The sequence below is a fragment of the Homo sapiens genome, chromosome 6 (assembly GCF_000001405.40).
Source record: "Homo sapiens chromosome 6, GRCh38.p14 Primary Assembly".
NCBI classification, from domain to species: domain Eukaryota; kingdom Metazoa; phylum Chordata; class Mammalia; order Primates; family Hominidae; genus Homo; species Homo sapiens.
The window spans coordinates 131,198,572-131,215,997 of record NC_000006.12 but is presented as its reverse complement, the minus strand read 5'-3'; the positions used below and the strand labels follow the sequence as shown (position 1 = coordinate 131,215,997).

Below are 17,426 nucleotides of genomic sequence, written 5' to 3'. Positions count from 1 at the left end.
AGTAAGCTTGGCATTCCTGGATTTGATTTCTGCTATGTTTTCCAATAGTTTATTGCTGTCATATAAGTAGCTATAAAAGAAATACACATTTCCTGTGATAATGACTTGACAACAAAATTAAGAATGTGATTTAAGAGCCAAACTCGCTTTCCATTTTGGGCATAGGCTGGTTAAAGAAGAACAGTAATCTCTTACACTTATTTTTGTTAAGTGGCAAAAAGTTACATTTGTTTAATGTTATATTGGTTAAGAAACTGAAATCACTTTTAGTGATCACTGCCCCAATGAAAATGTACATATTGGCAATTCAAAGTTATGAAAACATTATATATTGGCATGGGGCTTATCCCTGGCAAATCTTAAAGTTCTTCATGACTCCTTCACCTCTTTGCATAACTCCATTTTTTGCTGTTATTTGCACTATTTCATTTTCACCATCCTCCTGATACAGAACACTTGGTTACCTCCTCGCCAGCTGCAGCCTTCCCTCAGCTGCAGCCTTCCCTCAGCTCCTCTGAGTCAGGAGGAGGCTCAGTTCCACCCCAGCCTGTTCTTGACAGGGAGGGAAAGAGATGAGGAGCTTCACTGCACCAACCAATGAGCTCCAGAATAGCATGGTGATTTCAGATCATGTCCAGCACCCAGGGTGAGAACGGCCTTGCGGCCTTCCCATCTTCTCCTCTGGCCGCTCTGGGCCAGTCTATGTGGCTGGGCTCTGCTTTGGTCCCCTGGTCGAATGTGCCTGTTTGCTGTCTTGCTGAGGCCCTGACACCCCACCAACTGCCTGTCAGTTAGTTTCCAGCGGAAATATAAGGAGTGATGAAAAATAGAAAAGTCAACAGTACTTTATATGGCCCAATTATTGTGGCCCAATCTGAAAAAAAAATGATGCCATCTATCATCTGTATTACAGTAATGGAAAATATAAAGCATTTACTATGCACAGGCACTGTTCTAAGAACTTTTCTGAACTCATTTAATAACCACAATAACACTATTATCCACAGATAAGAAAACTAAATCACAGAGAAATGAGGTCACTTACCAAAAGACACAGCTAGTAAGAGATAGAGCTTGGATACAGATTCAGAATAAGTAGAGAAAATAATATATTGAAAAGAAGAGCAGAATAATAATTTCAAGCCCTCCATTATTTACTTTAAAATATTAAAATTCTAAGAATATTAATCATTATTAAGATACAATCATATATACTATCATATTTCCAAAACCAATGTCAAAATTACTTTGGGAATCCCTAGCATTCTAAAATACATGCCCTTAATATAGTGCATGAATATTAGTAAATCAAGTGATATGTACAGGTCACAGTAAATTAATTTCAGAGAGGGAGATAAGAAAGAATTCATAGATGCTACTTATACATAGAAAAAATTATCCAAATAATCCAGCCTGCAAAAAGAATGCTTCTTATACTGTTAATATTCCAAATAATCAGGTACAATACTGGCACAGATGGTCTATGTTTTCTGGACCAGCTATTTATTTCCATATGTAATATTTCTCAATTCTTAATTTTGTTTTATGCTAAAGCGTCTATTCAGTTCACCATGGGATTTTTTTAGGCACGCCATCTCCCTAACTCCTGTATTTATAAACTTACTTTTAGCATTCCAGTCTGGTTTAATGTTCAGGCTTTACAGAAAGAAAAAGCAGAAACTCTACCCTAGTATTTTAACTAACATTTACAATATTACACCTTTCAGCAAGTAGTAGGTAGAAACAGAGCTGCTAGAGCTACACATTTTAAATCTACTACTGACACCTCCTTTTACCTATCCTAAAACTTTTAAGAAGTGCTGGATGCTCCTTGGTGGCATCAAGTAGCTAGGAAAGCAGTCACAGAGGGAAGACAACACGATTCCTAATAACACAAGTCACGTCACAAAAGCCACCAAGAGAAAATGCTGGTTGCCTCCTGGTCCTAATGTGTCATTCCAGGAGGTGCTGGCATCAAACAGACCAGAGGAAGAAACATGGCTCTGGTTCACAAACATTTGGTTCATTTATACTGACTAAGGCCATGTTAACCACAGAGAGAACAACAGGTCACTGGCACCCAAGAAGTTCTCAAAGTTGCAGGCTCAATACAACAAGCACAGCGCTAGAACACTGCAATGCCTTTATTTACAACACAGTCTGTTCCCACGTAAGCTCATTGTTTGTCTACTTAGCCAACCTCAATTCTTTCTTCTCAAGTCCTCCTCCTTCTCATTTCCTGCAGGAGAGACCATATGCTGTTTGGCCACATAACTGTTTGTTATACTTGCATGTGGCTTTTCTCAGTATAATGAAACAAAGAAGGGGCTCAAAAAATGAGGCATCCAAGAAAGATTCCTATATGCTCAGTCTCAGCTGAGCACTCAACTCCCTTTCATCAAACTCCAGCTGTGTTCTTGGCTTGGAACAGTCTTGTGGTCACTCGAATGTAACAAGCTACAGCCTCCTCCTCCTTCCTATCATCTGTTTTCCTAATGTTTTGCTCTTTGGTACATGTTCTGAACTTAGCAACTTAACCATTTATTTCCATACATCAAAAATAAAACAATCTCCCACATACACTTACAACTTAATCTATTATGTTTCCTTCTTTCAATGCAATAGCTTTTTCCTTCTAATCAATACTTTCTAACACTAAGTAATTAATGCCAGTAAGCCACTGGTATAAAAAATTCTCAGTATAAAAAATTCTCAGTATAAAAAATTCACTGGTATAAAAAACGTCAACACTGAAGCAGGAGAATGGGGCTGTTTGGTAGAAAATCATTCAGAAATAAGTTCACAGAAAAATCCTAACTTTAACTTGCCACATAACACTGGCCTATGTATTGCAACATATTTATATCATGGTAGAATGTGTTGTGCTTTTATAGCTTAGAGGTCAAAAGTATGGAACCACTCACCTCAGCTGATTATGTTATCAAAAGATAGAACTTCAGACATAACTGTACCTCAGATACCATTCAAATGAGAGCTAAATACTGTCCCTAGACAGTGTACAAGAGACTGTACACTCTCAAAACATTTTAAATGCATCCACAGACATCACTAATTGTAGCCTTGTAACTTTAAATAAGAAAGACCTAAAGCATTTTCCCAGATCCTCCTGCCCCATGTACCTGGTACTTTCTACTTTTCTCACTTTCTTATGAACTAATCAATTTCCTAGACTCTTTTCCCATCAACATTCTTCCTTCTCACTTTTCTCCCCCTCATTCTAACCCCCAACATCATTCTCAATAGGATACCTTACTTAACCTAACTCAGCCTCTTACTCTGCCTAACTACCCAGGAGTATTCCCTGCATACTACTTAGAAAAGATGCCCCTGTCTAACAGAGGAAGGACTCCAACAACTGAATGTTACAAGAACTGGGTGAAGAAATGGGAAAGACATAGTGGCATTGCGATTTACATTGACACCCCTATAACTTAGGAAATGGAACAAGGAAGAAAGGTGCTCAATGATACAAGCCTTTCACCTTATTTGGTTTGGAACTGTTCCCTGGACATCGTAACAGATATAAGGGAGTCTGATGGGAAAAAAACAATAGCTAAATATGGAACAGTCATTAAACATATGACCCAAGAATCATGTGTAGCCCTTAAACCAATTTTAAAATGAATGTTTCTCTCCAGATAGAGCAAGAAATGTAAACAAAGACTTTCTAAGTATGACACACATGGCTATGTAAAATAATTTTTATATAACATTCAACCGGAACCTTGCCCACATTTCAAACTTAAACATTTAATTGTGAAATTTCCCCTTGTTTACTTTAAAATACAGATCGTCCCTGACTTAGGATGATTCAACATATGATATTTCAACTTTACGACGTGTGAAAGCAACATGCATTCAGTAGAACCCATACTTCGAGTACTAACACAACCATTGTTTTTTCACTTTCAGTGCAATATTCAATAGCTTACATGAGATATGCAACACTTTACTATAAAATGGGTTTTGTGTTAGATGATTTTGCCCAACTGTAGGCTAATGTAAGTGTTCTGAGCACATTTAGGTAGGCTAGGCTAGGCTATCAGGTTTGATAAGGTAAATGTATTAAATGCATTTTTAACTTACAACTTGTTCAATTTATGATGGGCTTATCAGAATGTAACCCTATCATAAACTGAGGAACATCTGTATAGAATTACAGGGATTACATAAATTTTCTTTCTTTTTTTTTTTTTTTTTTTTTGAGACGGAGTCTCACTCTGTCTCCCAGGCTGGAGTGCAGTGGCGTGATCTCGGCTCACTGCAACCTCCGTCTCCCGGGTTCTCGCCATTCCCCTGCCTCAGCCTCCCAAGCAGCTGGGACTACAGGTGTCCGCCACCATACCTGGCTAATTTTTTGCATTTTTTTTTTTTTAGTAGAGATGGGGTTTCACCGTATTAGCCAGGATGGTCTCAATCTCCTGACCTCGTGATCCGCCCACCTCAGCCTCCCAAAGTGCTGGGATTACAGGCGTGAGCCACCGCGCCCATCTGGATTACATAAATTTCCTAATGCACTCAGAGTCAGCCTGTATCTATAAACATTAGATTTGCTTTTTAAAAGTACAGTTAAAATAGGCATCAAACCAGTCAGTAATTTCCACCCAGCCTTTTCTTTTAGAGATTTCAAAAATTAAGAAAGAATATTTTCCAAATTTTGAGAAGCACTTCAAGACTAATAAAAAAAGCAGTGAGTGGGGCAGGAAAAGAAAAAATTGACAAAAGACAAGGATTTTGTATCTTAAGATAATAGAATGCAAAAAATTATATACACTGGCATATTCCCCTTTTGCTATACCCACTGGGTGCTACCATTGCTCACACAGACCCCAGAAAGCTTAACAAGCCAAACGACACCATCTTCTCCATGTCCATCACATACCCACTTTGTACATCTTAGGTACCTGCCAATAAGGATATATGTGTGATGGAAAAGTTACCACCTGTTGAGAAGTACGTTTGATTTGATTTCCCTATCCATTCAGCTTATTCCCAAGTGACCACTCCCTGGTAAATTAAATTCTAGAGATATTTGGCCTGGAAGTCCAAGAGCACAAAGTTTACCATTTTCTGATTGTCAGGGTAGGTCAGGGAGGGTGAAGAGCAAGGTGGGATCCAAGGGGACCAAGTCGTGAAACATGGAATGGGTAAGATTAGGGAGAGGCTGTTGCCAAAGGTGCAGGATCACTACAGGGAGTCACAAGGAACATTCTCCCAGGTAATGAATGGCCAATGAAAATCCCACAGTAGTGCTGGAGACCAAACCGGAAATTACTGTGAAAGAAATATTCTGCTCTAAATAAAGTTACACAACAAATTATTATAATTAGATCCAGCTGTGGGGAAGGCAATCCCCAAGGAAGGAAGAGAGGTAGTTTCATACTCTGGTCTTCAGCTTAGGGACAGTATAAAGATACAGTTGCACTGAAAGGCCTTAAAGATGGATCTCCAAAATGGTGTCACAAACCTGGCCAACAGTTAAATATACTGCCATCAGTAGGGTTTAGAAATAGAACACCTCCTGTAGGAACAAAACTGGAATTCCTGTAGCCAAGGGTGGCTAGTCCCTAAGATGATATGAGTAAGTTCTGTTAGGTCCTCAACTACAGATAAAGTGAGGATTGGCCCTGGCAAAGAGGCCAACAACCTTTTTGTCTTTTAATTTACTAGAGTAACCAATTGAAAGAGAACTGAACTGGTTTAGTATTTTGAAGAACCAGTATTATTCTATTTTTAAGGTATCTTTCCTTGAGAGAGTAAGATTCTGATGGTCAAAATAAACCAGCTCATATGTAGAAATGGAAGTATAATTCTGATATAAACTAGTTATGGTTTTGGATTGCAACCTTAATTCCTTCTCATATCTGAGTCCCTCAAGAAGAATACAGCTTTACCTTCTTTCACTATGCAGTTAATTATTTTAATAAGAGTTGGTTGGCCAATCTTTCCAGTGACAGAAAATCTTCTTGCCATCCAAATAATTCCAGCTGGTTTGCTTTTATGTGACCATTTGAGTGGGTCAGTAATTAGCTGTCACTTACTAAACAAGGTAAATAGTTCTGCATCAACACCATTTTGGAATAAAATCTTAGGTTTTCTTGACCATATATTCTATTTTGTCTTTACCCATAATCAATCCACTGTGGGACTTGCCAGTTGCCTATATTTTCATGATGTTCCACTTTGTCCTTGACTAAGAAAATGAAAATTACCAGCTGACAGAAGTTTCAAAATGTCTAAAAACGACTCGCTGAGAAAAACATTTTTCCCATAACTAACGGTAATCTTTGAGATAGAATTTTTATATTTAATATAATTAAGGCAAACACATGCAATTTTAATTAACTTGAATACTCTGATACTGCATCTTTTAATATAAGTTCTAAAACTCTGTTTCTTCAATTACACTTAAATCAGAAGTTTATCGGGCTGGGTGTGGTGGCTCACGCTTGTAATCCCAGCACTTTGGGAGGCCGAGGCGGGTGGATCACAAGGTCAGGAGATCCAGACCATCCTGGCTAACATGGTGAAATCCCGTCTCTACTAAAAATACAAAAAATTAGCCGGGCATGGTGGCGGGCACCTGTAGTCCCAGCTATTCAGGAGGCTGAGGCAGGAGAATGGCGTGAACCCAGGAGGCAGAACTTGTAATGAGCCGAGATCGCACCACTGCACTCCAGCCTGGGAGTCAGAGCGAGACTCCATCTCAAACAAACAAAAAAAAAATCAGATGCTTATCTGTAGATGCAACTGCTGGAAAATAAATATGTCCACAGAATCTATATGTTTAACAAAAAAAAAAATCACTTAAGCTGGAATTATCAAATCAGCATTTCCTAAGCCATGTTCTACCAAATACTAATGGCTACAAAACAGTCAGTGGAAAAAGGACTTGCTGGTCTGGTTGGGAAACAATGCTGAGTAGACTATACAACTGTTCAAAATATTTTCTGCCCCACCTGTGGTGTACCTTCCTGGAAGCAAATTATATATCCTGCTCTGTTACACTCAGAAGGAACCATGTGACTTGCTTTGGCCAATAAAATATGATCAGAAATGATGTGTGTCACTTCTTAGCAAAAGCTTTAAGAATCAGCATGTTCACCAACTCTCTTTCCTTTTGCCAGAAGAGCAGAAAAGTCCTAGATGGAGGCTGCCCAGCCACGGTCCTGAGTAAAGACAATGTGGAGCAGAGCCAGAGGATCCATTAACATGGGGGGAAAAAAAGAATCTCTGTTGTTGTAAGCTCTTGAGATTCACAATAAGCATTTGCATTTCAGAGAACCTAAGAAGTTCTGACATAAAGAATTTGATTAACTTTACTTAACCCATCATTGCTAACATTCATTGGATCACAGATCCCTGCCTCACATAAAACCCTGACAGATATTCAGAAAGAAAAATCTCAGAAAATGCTATTGAAGATACTTGCTTCAAATCTCCATTCCACTTTGAAGATTTAATATTAGGTTCACCAGTCATTTCTTCCAGGGTTTTCAAAGTTGTCAAAATCTCTAACAGAATCAAGATCAACCAGGAATCATTTGTAATCCTGACTTTAGTCAATTTCTAGAATTTCCCATAAAATAATTTAGCATTCTGTTTACTGTTTCTCAATTTTTAAAGACATACAAAGTACTGAAAGATTCCAAATGAATGTTAAGCAGGTTTACCTTTGTAAACATCATTTCCAATTGTTAAACAATTGTAAACTTGTTTTTTTTCAATATACAGAAATAGACAATACAACAGCATAAAGTTGAAAAATACATTAGAAACATAAGTGAAGGCACTTGTTATAAATAGTGCTCTTTAACACACAGTAGATGACAGTGTTGACTAATGTAATCTAGAGTATCTCAGAAGAAATTACATTCTACCTCATGAGAATTCACTGAATTTTTAGTGTTAAAAAGCCATTAAAACAAAGAGATTTGCTGTTTAATGTACTTGGAAATATGAAAAGTGACTCAAAAACAACTAAAAACTGTGAGTAATTAAGCCATCTGACACCGGGAGATTCAAAAATAGTTTACAGAAACAATCTGCTTTATCTTGCACCAAAGATATTTTTAAAGTTTTGTCTGGAATAATCAAGGTTCACTGAATAACCAGGGCATCTACAAATGCCCTCTTTGTGGGATGAAGGAAGGAAGTGGCAGGGTAGTCTCCAGGCTTCTCTGTGCCTCTCCTTTGTTAGAATGAAGGAATATTCTTTAAAATGTAGAGCCCTTGCCTATTCTGTCTCCCAGGTCAGGAGGGCCTCTACCACCAGCACTTCCACATAATTTGGTATTGACAGGATTTCTCTACCTCTCAGTTTCACTAAAGATGTAGTATGTGGCTGGGTGCAGTTGCTCACATCTGTAATCCCAACACTATGGGAGGCCAAGGTGTGAGGATCGTTTAAGGCCAGGAGTTCAAGACCAGCCTGGGCAACATAGCAACACCCCATATCTAAAAAAAAAAAAAAAAAAAAAAAAAATTTTAATTAGCCAGGCATGGTGTGCACACCTGTAGTCCCAGCTACTCAGGAGGCTGAGGCAGGAGGATCATTTGAGCCCAGGATTTGGAGGCTGCGATCAGCTATGATCATGCCATGAACTCTAGGTCTGGGCAACCAAGTGAGATCCTAGTTCTTTCAAAAAAAAAAAAAAATGTGTAGAGTATTTTTCCCATTGTCCTTGTTGCTCCATCTGGCTTCTAGGAGGACAAGTGAAAAGATTCAGATCTAAATTGCCCCTATCTTCCTATCAGTACTTGAAGACCTTTCTTCTTTCTGTCATTCTCCTTCCACACAGAAAAGAAAGCCAATATGAGGTTAAAAATATATATAACTGTGTGAAGCCAAATTAAGCAATTTGGTCAAACTGTTTACCTTATAGACATTTCAGGATAGCACAGGAGTCAAGAGTCCTTCTTTTACGATAAGTCAACAGAGATCGAGAGAGGTTATGTGATTTTGTCCAGGACTAAACAACAGGGCTAAAACAGGAAAGCTCATGCTCCTTTAAATTACTACAGGGATTCCTTTAAGAAGGAATAGTCTTAATGCTCCTGAGTTTTAACATGGTTTATAAAAGCTCACTGTCATGCAGACCCCCAAAAGTGAGTGGCAGTCAAACTATACCAGGCCCAGTTAACAAAATCCTGAAAAAATATGCAGAGATAGATAGATAGATAGATAGATGGATGGATGGACAGACAGACAGACAGACAGCTAGCTAGGTAGCTAGATAGATAGAAGTAAATAATGGTAGTGAGTGAAGAAAGATGACATCAGGGCTCACAGTTAGGGAGGGATGCAGAGTAAGGCTGAATTCAACCAACCTAGTATAGAAACTTTCCATTACAATTCTAGTTCTGTATATTCAATCACCAAACAATTCAGGAACTGGAATTTCCTCTTAATGGTAGCATCAGAACAAAATTTTCAACCATATGCTCTCCTTTTCCATTCCTACCAATGACTGTCCTATATCCTCTTCTCCACTCCCCTCAACATCATCATCATCATCAGGTCCAATGATCACCCTTCAGCCCTTACTTTTTGCATCTTGAATTCTGCCCTCAAAACAAACCAGTCTAAGTGAAAGTCGCTAATAATTTTCAAAGTTCATTTTTTTCATTCTAAAGTACTCTCATTTTCTGACTCTGTAAAACACTGCTGCAAAGAGGTGTCATGTTCATAAAACATGTCTTTGTCAGTTTAAGAGCTACAGTAGTAATTTGAAAGAGTCATAAATCAGGGAAGATACCTAAGAAGCCCAGAAAATAATTTGTGATTAAAAACAACTGATCTATACATTAGGCGATCACATTTATTTTTTGAGGATGTTATCACATTTATTTTTTGAGATCTGCATTAAGATGTTTGTTTGATTTGAAACTTGTCTTCTTCTGCCATCAAGTGTTAGCACATATTTCTAACCAACCAAGATTTGCAACATTGAAATCACTGAAACCCAAGTTCATTCAGTAAGAAAAATAAGTCCAAAAAGATACCGTACAAAAAGCATGAGGCTGAACAAGTTAGCGGACTAGCTATGTCAACTAAATTCTGAAAAAACTACAAATAACCTGAACTTTAGTTACTATTTCAGAGACAGTAATTTAATATGATTTTCTGAGGTTTCATTTGATGAAAAAAATTACAGAATACAATGATAATGATTCCTTTTGATGTTTTATTATGCAAAATACCCATTAGAATTTCATGAAACTAAGAATATGCAAAGCTGACACATTGACTAAATGTCTCCTGGTGTTAGAAAGATACATAATTGCCAAGAAAAGCCTTATGTTTCACAGAATCTGTCCTTAGCCTCAACTCAGCTCTCTAACTTGGGAACCAGAATATCATGCTGTCACAGAAGAAGTTTCACATCAGGACATTTGAGAGAGAGTTTCTGTATTTTCAAAATTTTGAACACAATATATTGAATGTTTAGTTCCCCACTGGGCTTTTGGTTACTACTACTACATGCAATTACCTGCCAACAAGTGCCTACCAGAGGACAGGACCCCGGAAGCCCAGGGACTTCTGCACCAAATACTGAACACCACTGGGAAACCCTCACACTAGATCTGTACGACCTCCCAGGGGGTGAATGCTCATCCCCTGCACCAGCCATCTGTCCACATCTTTAATGTCAATGAGATGTTTTACCTTCATAAACAGACTGATGATAGCTCTGACTTTGAATCTAATTTTTTAAGTTGACATGGGTAACAGCTTTTCAGGTTACTTTTTAAATGACAATGACTAGATGATTAAAAAAAAATCTCAATTGGTTTATCACTACAGAATATCGCATTATACCTCCTATAGACAATAATGAATGGACCGGCTATCTTACTATCTCAGAATTTTCCTATAATATTTCCTGTAATAATCCAGAGCATTCCTCTACACAGCACACCCCTTTTTACCAACAATCATCATGTCTACCCTGACAACAGTAGCACCAGTACTTTAGGTGCTTTTAGTGCATCAGTACTTTCAGTGCATCAGTATCATACATAAAATCATTTCCAGACTACCCTCTAGCAGGTCAAATTGAAATATAAGGAGGACACCATCTGGCTTCAGTCTTTAAAACAGAGCATCTCAACAGGAGATATCATTTAGCTCTTTTCCAGACAGTCTCACTATACACCACCCCTCCATACCAGAAACTGAAGGACCACTCCCATGACAATGGAAAATCTTCAGGTTTTCTGAATCCGGTGGCTGCCCCTCACTCCTGCATTGTCATGGGGCACCTAACTTTGCTCATCACCACTTCTTATTACACTCCACTCACCAAGGTCCCACCATTCCTCAGAACCCCAGCAAACCAAAATGGGAATCCTCAGCATGTCAAGGGGGATATACTATATTCTGAGTGACATTAAGGTCAGTTCTATTCACTGATCTACCGGAAAAATCATGGGCTAAGAGAGTAACTGTGGGAAGCCACTTTTTACCTCTAAAATGCGATGAAACACATTAAGGTGCTGGCAAGGCAAACCCAAGGAAACCATTTTATACAATTTTAATTACAGTATACATTTTATAGGATAGATTTTATATACTAAAGAGTATAGTATTTTATTTACTTTGTATGCTGTTATAGAATCCTTATATCTACTTCAGTAGCTGCTTATATCATTTATATGATTTACCATAATTGACTTAAACATTTCCCTATTGTTGTGGGAGTTATTTCTATTATTTCCCTATTATTGATAATACTTCAGTAAACATCTTTATGCATAAAGAACTTCTCTTTTTAAATTATTTCTTTAGAATAATATCAGCAGCTAGGACATCTTAAAGAAAATGAGATTTTTAACATTTTTTTAATGTCAGTTGCATAATTCATAGCTCAAAGGGCCATATCAATTTTATATGACCTCTGATAGTCTTTCTACCACGAGTTTATCCTAACAAATGTTCTTCTCATACACCACGGTTGGGAGTATAAATTGTCACTATTGCTTGACAAGGCAATCTGAGGTATTTCTGAAGGTTTATAATGTCTAATACCCTCTGCTCTTAGAATTCCACTTCAAAGAATTGGTTCTTTGAAATACTGGCATATCCACCCAAAGAAAAGTGAACAAGGAAGTTCATAACAGCATTGTTTGTGGTACCAAAGAAACAGAAATCAACCTAATTATTCATCAACAGAAGAATGTTTAAATTATGATAAATCAAAATAATATTGAGAGTTTTATTTCTGTTTTAAAGAAACTATATGCATGTATGTATGTCCATATATATTTGCAGCACATAGGAAAAGGTCTGGAAGGATCTACTGGCAGTGTTTACCTAGAGAGACATTCTGTTGGGAGGAAGTGGGTTGCAGGATGGTAATGAGGGAGTAACTCTACCTTTCACTCTATAGGTCTGTAAGTATTTGAATTGTTTACAGTAAGCATATATTCAGCTAATAATTTTATAATTAAAGTAACTTTTTAAATAAAGAATAACATACGTGAAATGAGTCCAATCTCCTAACATGCAAGTGGATTAAAAAAAAACTATTATTTCGCCACTCCCTTCTTTTATTTCACTATCAATCTAAATAACATGGAAAGCCAGCAATACATTCCACGATCATCTTTATTTAATGGTCACTTGCTTGTGACATTAGCTCAATGGATGGATTCAGAACAAAAATCTAGAAGAAAATTAGTGCCGAGAGAAGAAAATAGATAGCTGGAAATGTAAAAACGTTAAGACTGAGACTAAGGAACCATATATTTTCAAATAATCTACATACCAAACCACGAATTATAGTAAAGTAAATAAATGAAATCATCTTGTATGTATGCCACCTTTTCATACTGGTTTTAACCTTTACAGTAGATTTGCTGCATAAGAAACTGTTGGATATTTATTTAAGCCTGCAGGTCTTAAGTATATTCCTCTGCAGATCATCTGTATCAGAACCATATATGGCATTTACTGAACATCAAAAGCTTAGGTCCTAGGTCCATCTCTAAATCTAAGGGTAGAGGGTGGAAATCTGAAGCTTCAACCAGTACGCCGGCTGACTTGCGAATCCCCATATCTAAGATCTACTTCCTTAAACTTTCAGGAACACTGACCACTATAATAGTGATAGGAATAGACTCATTCCATAAATTAAAATAAAAAATTCTTATTTGGCTTACTGAAAATGATAATATCATAATTTGTTTTCTTTATTTTATTTTATTTTATTATTATTATACTTTAAGTTTTAGGGTACATGTGCACAATGTGCAGGTTAGTTACATATGTATACATGTGCCATGCTGGTGTGCTGCACCCATTAACTCGTCATTTAGCGTTAGGTATATCTCCTAAAGCTATCCCTCCCCCCTCCCCCATCCCACAACAGTCCCCAGCGTGTGATGTTCCCCTTCCTGTGTCCACGTGTTCTCATTGTTCAATTCCCACCTAGGAGTGAGAACCTGCAGTGTTTGGTTTTTTGTCCTTGCGATAGTTTACTGAGAATGATGATTTCCAATTTCATCCATGTCCCTACAAAGGACATGAACTTATCATTTTTTATGGCTGCATAGTATTCCATGGTGTATATGTGCCACATTTTCTTAATCCAGTCTATCATTGTTGGACATTTGGGTTGGTTCCAAGTCTTTGCTATTGTGAATAGTGCCGCAATAAACATATGTGTGCACGTGTCTTTATAGCAGCATGATTTATAGTCCTTTGGGTATATACCCAGTAATGGGATGGCTGGGTCAAATGGTATTTCTAGTTCTAGATCCCTGAGGAATGGCCACACTGACTTCCACAATGGTTGAACTAGTTTACAGTCCCACCAACAGTGTAAAAGTGTTCCTATTTCTCCACATCCTCTCCAGCACCTGTTGTTTCCTGACTTTTTAATGACTGCCATTCTAACTGGTGTGAGATGTATCTCATTGTGGTTTTGATTTGCATTTCTCTGATGGCCAGTGATGGTGACCATTTTTTCATGTGTTTTTTGGCTGCATAAATGTCTTCTTTTGAGAAGTGCCTGTTCATGTCCTTCACCCACTTTTTGATAGGGTTGTTTGTTGATAACGCTGCATATCTACAACTATCTGATCTTTGACAAACCTGAGAAAAACAAGCAATGGGGAAACGATTCCCTATTTAATAAATGGTGCTGGGAAAACTGGCTAGCCATATGTAGAAAGCTGAAACTGGATCCCTTCCTTACACCTTATACAAAAATTAATTCAAGATGGATTAAAGACTTAAACATTAGACCTAAAACCATAAAAGCCCTAGAAGAAAACCTAGGCATTACCATTCAGGACATAGGCATGGGCAAGGACTTCATGTCTAAAACACCAAAAGCAATGGCAACAAAAGCCAAAATTGACAAATGGGATCTAATTAAACTAAAGAGCTTCTGCACAGCAAAAGAAACTACCATCAGAGTGAACAGGCAACCTACAAAATAGGAGAAAATTTTCACAACCTACTCATCTGACAAAGGGCTAATATGCAGAATCTACAAGGAACTCAAACAAATTTACAAGAAAAAAACAATCATAATTTGTTTTCTAAATATTAAGCATTCTAATCTAAATAAAATGCAATCTGATTTAGATTTTATGTACCATTCAAGCAGTGACTGTTTCTATTTTGATCACCACTCTGTGCCCAGCACCCAGTGTCTGGCACATAGTAGGCACTCAATACATATTTACTTAATTAATATGATTTGGAACAGGGAGCTCCTTACACGTAGAAATGACTCTGCGTGAACTGGAGCTGGCCAGTGGGAGGGAAGAATGTGAGACAGAATGAGATGGGATGGGTTTCTCAGGTGCAGAGACAGTGCTCTGTAACTGATAAGACTGTGATCTCAGTTACATCACAACCATTCCAAGTCTCATATTACTTTTCTATAGGGTAAGATTGATTCTGTGAAATTAACTGCCAATAAATCATTTAAATGCAGTTTGAAATGTTGACATATATAGTTTAAGCATTTTTTTAAATAAATGTCCTTGGGTGCTCTCATTTCAAAGTTAATATTATAAAGACAAAGAAACATTTTGAAACGGAGATATTACCTTCACCACTGATTGTCATTCTGTGATTAAGTTTGAAACCACTTGGAAGAGGACAATCCATTTGAAAGCAAAACAAGAAAGATAACCAGTAAAGAATCAAACTGTCAGTCTACAAGTTTTGTAAATTGTTGTCATCCCATATTTCAAAATCTATCATTTACACCAATTATTTTTACCTAACATACCTAATATGATACTGGAATGATACCTAATATGGATATTACTAAATTTGTGGCAATGTAATCCAAAAAACCATGCAAGATATCTTTCTGAGATTTTCAGCAATAGTTTGTAGAAAACTCTTAACTATAGGATGGTGAGTCACCCAAACCCATGATTTAAAGGGCCCAAAAGACTTTTCTGAGGACAGAGACATTAAATACAAAATGTGGCAAATTTAGAAAAAAAAAATTCTACTTACTACTACACATGGCCTTCATTTCTAGAGCTGCAAATCAGTCTTAACTGCAGCAAAGGGTCATGGAGAGCAGGGAGCGGATATTAATCTGCATGCCCATCTCCAAAACTCTGGTATATGAGAGCAGGCCATCAGATGTCTGAATTTGCATGAGGAACCCCCTAGGCTGAAATAGGAAACAAAATGAAGGGTGGCCTTAGGATTTTAGGAGAAATGCTCATGAACCTAGACGGAAGTCAAAAGTTGCTCCGACTTCTGCGGGAAGAAGGGGTGGCCTATAAAGGCAGTAAGTCACCCTGAGACAGGGGAAGTCAAAAGACTTGTCACTTGGATTGTGCCACTGGGTTGACCATCCTTAGGGAGAAGTACTTTAAAGTACCTCCAGGAAAGGGGGTCCCTCAGTTACCCTCATGCCCAGTCCCCGGTATACCTGGTTCCAAGGCCTTAATTGAGGCAACTGCTGAAAGATGGTCTTTTGGAAACCTTGAAGAGCGACAGGAAGAGGGGTAAAAAAAGCTTACCCAGTTGCGGTGAGCAGCACCAGCGTAACAGGCCAGCAGAGGAAGCTTTGAGAGCAACAGGATGCAAATAACCACAAGCAAGAATAGCAGCAAAAGTGAACTCTGGCACCACCTCGAGGCTCTTCAGGGGATGAAGCAGGTGAGGCAACAGTGGTAGAAATAAATGATGGCCAGACTATGCAAGAACAGCCATCGTGGCAAAGGCAGGCAAAGCTGAAATAGCCTCCATGGAAGGCCAGGAGCATCCTCAGCACCCCTGGGAATTGGAACCAACCTGACTTGGAAACCCAGAAGCAAGAGTAGTGTCAGAGACCACAGCAATGTCACTCGTGCTCCAGACCATGCTTATGGCTGGTGTGGCCTGGTAAAACAGGCTTGCAATAAGAACATGCACTCACATTCTTACGGAGCCACGGTGATTTTGACAACTTCATGAAGGTCAAATGAGGTTTAAAACTTCTGCTCTCTCCTACCAGGATGCCTTTTTCTTGAAATGTCCTATTTGCAGTCTCTGAAGAAAATAAAGAGAAACAAAGAAATGCTACTACAGTATTTTCAGTTCTTTTTAACTGTAAAAAAAAATACCAGTTCAAACAATCACTAATTATTTTACAGTGAAGATTACTTTATACACCTGCTTCAGATATTTTCTTTAAAAGAGAGAAAAAATCTACAATGTGTATGATAACAAATGCTATATGACAGTTAAATGTCCAGTGATTTCACACCTGTGGTAAAGCACACAAAAGCAATAATTTGAAAGGGATATCTAATAAACAGAATAACTGCTGGGCTGACATGATGCTGATTTTCACAGAACATTCCAGTGGTTTCCCTGAGTATAAAAAAGGACTAGCTTATCTGAAACCCTTCATATCTCAAACTTCTGCTTCCAAGATGAAGTAGCAGAAACCTTCCCTGAGCAATGAGAAACGAACAAGGTAAGCCCTTTGATTATTCCAGCTTACATCTTTGAATGCCCAAGGTCTTGTGTAAGGAGATGAAACAGATAGAGTCCAGCCCTTTCCTGGATTGAGGCAAAGGAGCTGAAAGGGACAGAATACTTGAGAAGTAAGACTTGTACCAAGAAAATTCCAGAGCTCTTCAAAGGGTTCCCCTAGAATATTCTGCTGAGTCCTGATCAGTGCATGTGTGCAAGGAAACTACCAGAGGCTGGGGAAAAACACATTCAAAAGGATTAGAGGGAAGAGTGTCTAGTACTTTAACAAGAAAAGGTGAGCCCTTTGATTGTCCCAGCTTATATCCTTGAGTGTCCAAGGCCTTCTATAAGTAGGAGAAACCCAGATGGAGCCCAGGAATACTGTTCCATTAGCCAGACTGGAAAACCCCAAGATTCATGAGACATTAGGTAAAAAGAACAGTCTTGCCTCAGTAGTGGG

General features: G+C 38.1%; 1 protein-coding gene across 25 annotated transcripts in view, besides 2 other annotated features; it reads right to left on the bottom strand.

Moving 5' to 3' along the window:
• AKAP7 (A-kinase anchoring protein 7) overlaps positions 1–17,426 on the bottom strand; it is a 157,906-nt gene that overhangs the window by 67,535 nt on the left and 72,945 nt on the right. For 17 of the 25 annotated variants that reach the window (NR_164833.1, NR_164832.1, NR_170717.1 and 14 more), the window contains one exon: positions 16,425–16,537. The exons of 1 other annotated variant lie outside the window; for it this stretch is intronic. Coding sequence is in view for 17 of the 24 variants with exons in the window: in XM_017011509.2 (XP_016866998.1) it covers positions 16,425–16,537 (113 nt within the window). In the remaining 7 variants the exon portion in view is untranslated. Of the gene's footprint in view, positions 1–8,644; positions 15,129–15,508; positions 15,672–16,424; positions 16,538–17,426 lie in introns of those variants that run through there. 7 more of the 25 variants (NR_170716.1, XM_047419569.1, XM_017011507.2 and 4 more) reach the window with 4 other exon arrangements.
• Positions 15,859–15,958: an enhancer, noted in NCBI's record as "active region_25065". NCBI's record gives its function as "activates an Ori minimal core promoter by ATAC-STARR-seq in GM12878 lymphoblastoid cells {active_cell/tissue: GM12878}" and the evidence as "EXISTENCE:reporter gene assay evidence [ECO:0000049][PMID:35858748]".
• Positions 16,009–16,058: an enhancer, noted in NCBI's record as "active region_25064". NCBI's record gives its function as "activates an Ori minimal core promoter by ATAC-STARR-seq in GM12878 lymphoblastoid cells {active_cell/tissue: GM12878}" and the evidence as "EXISTENCE:reporter gene assay evidence [ECO:0000049][PMID:35858748]".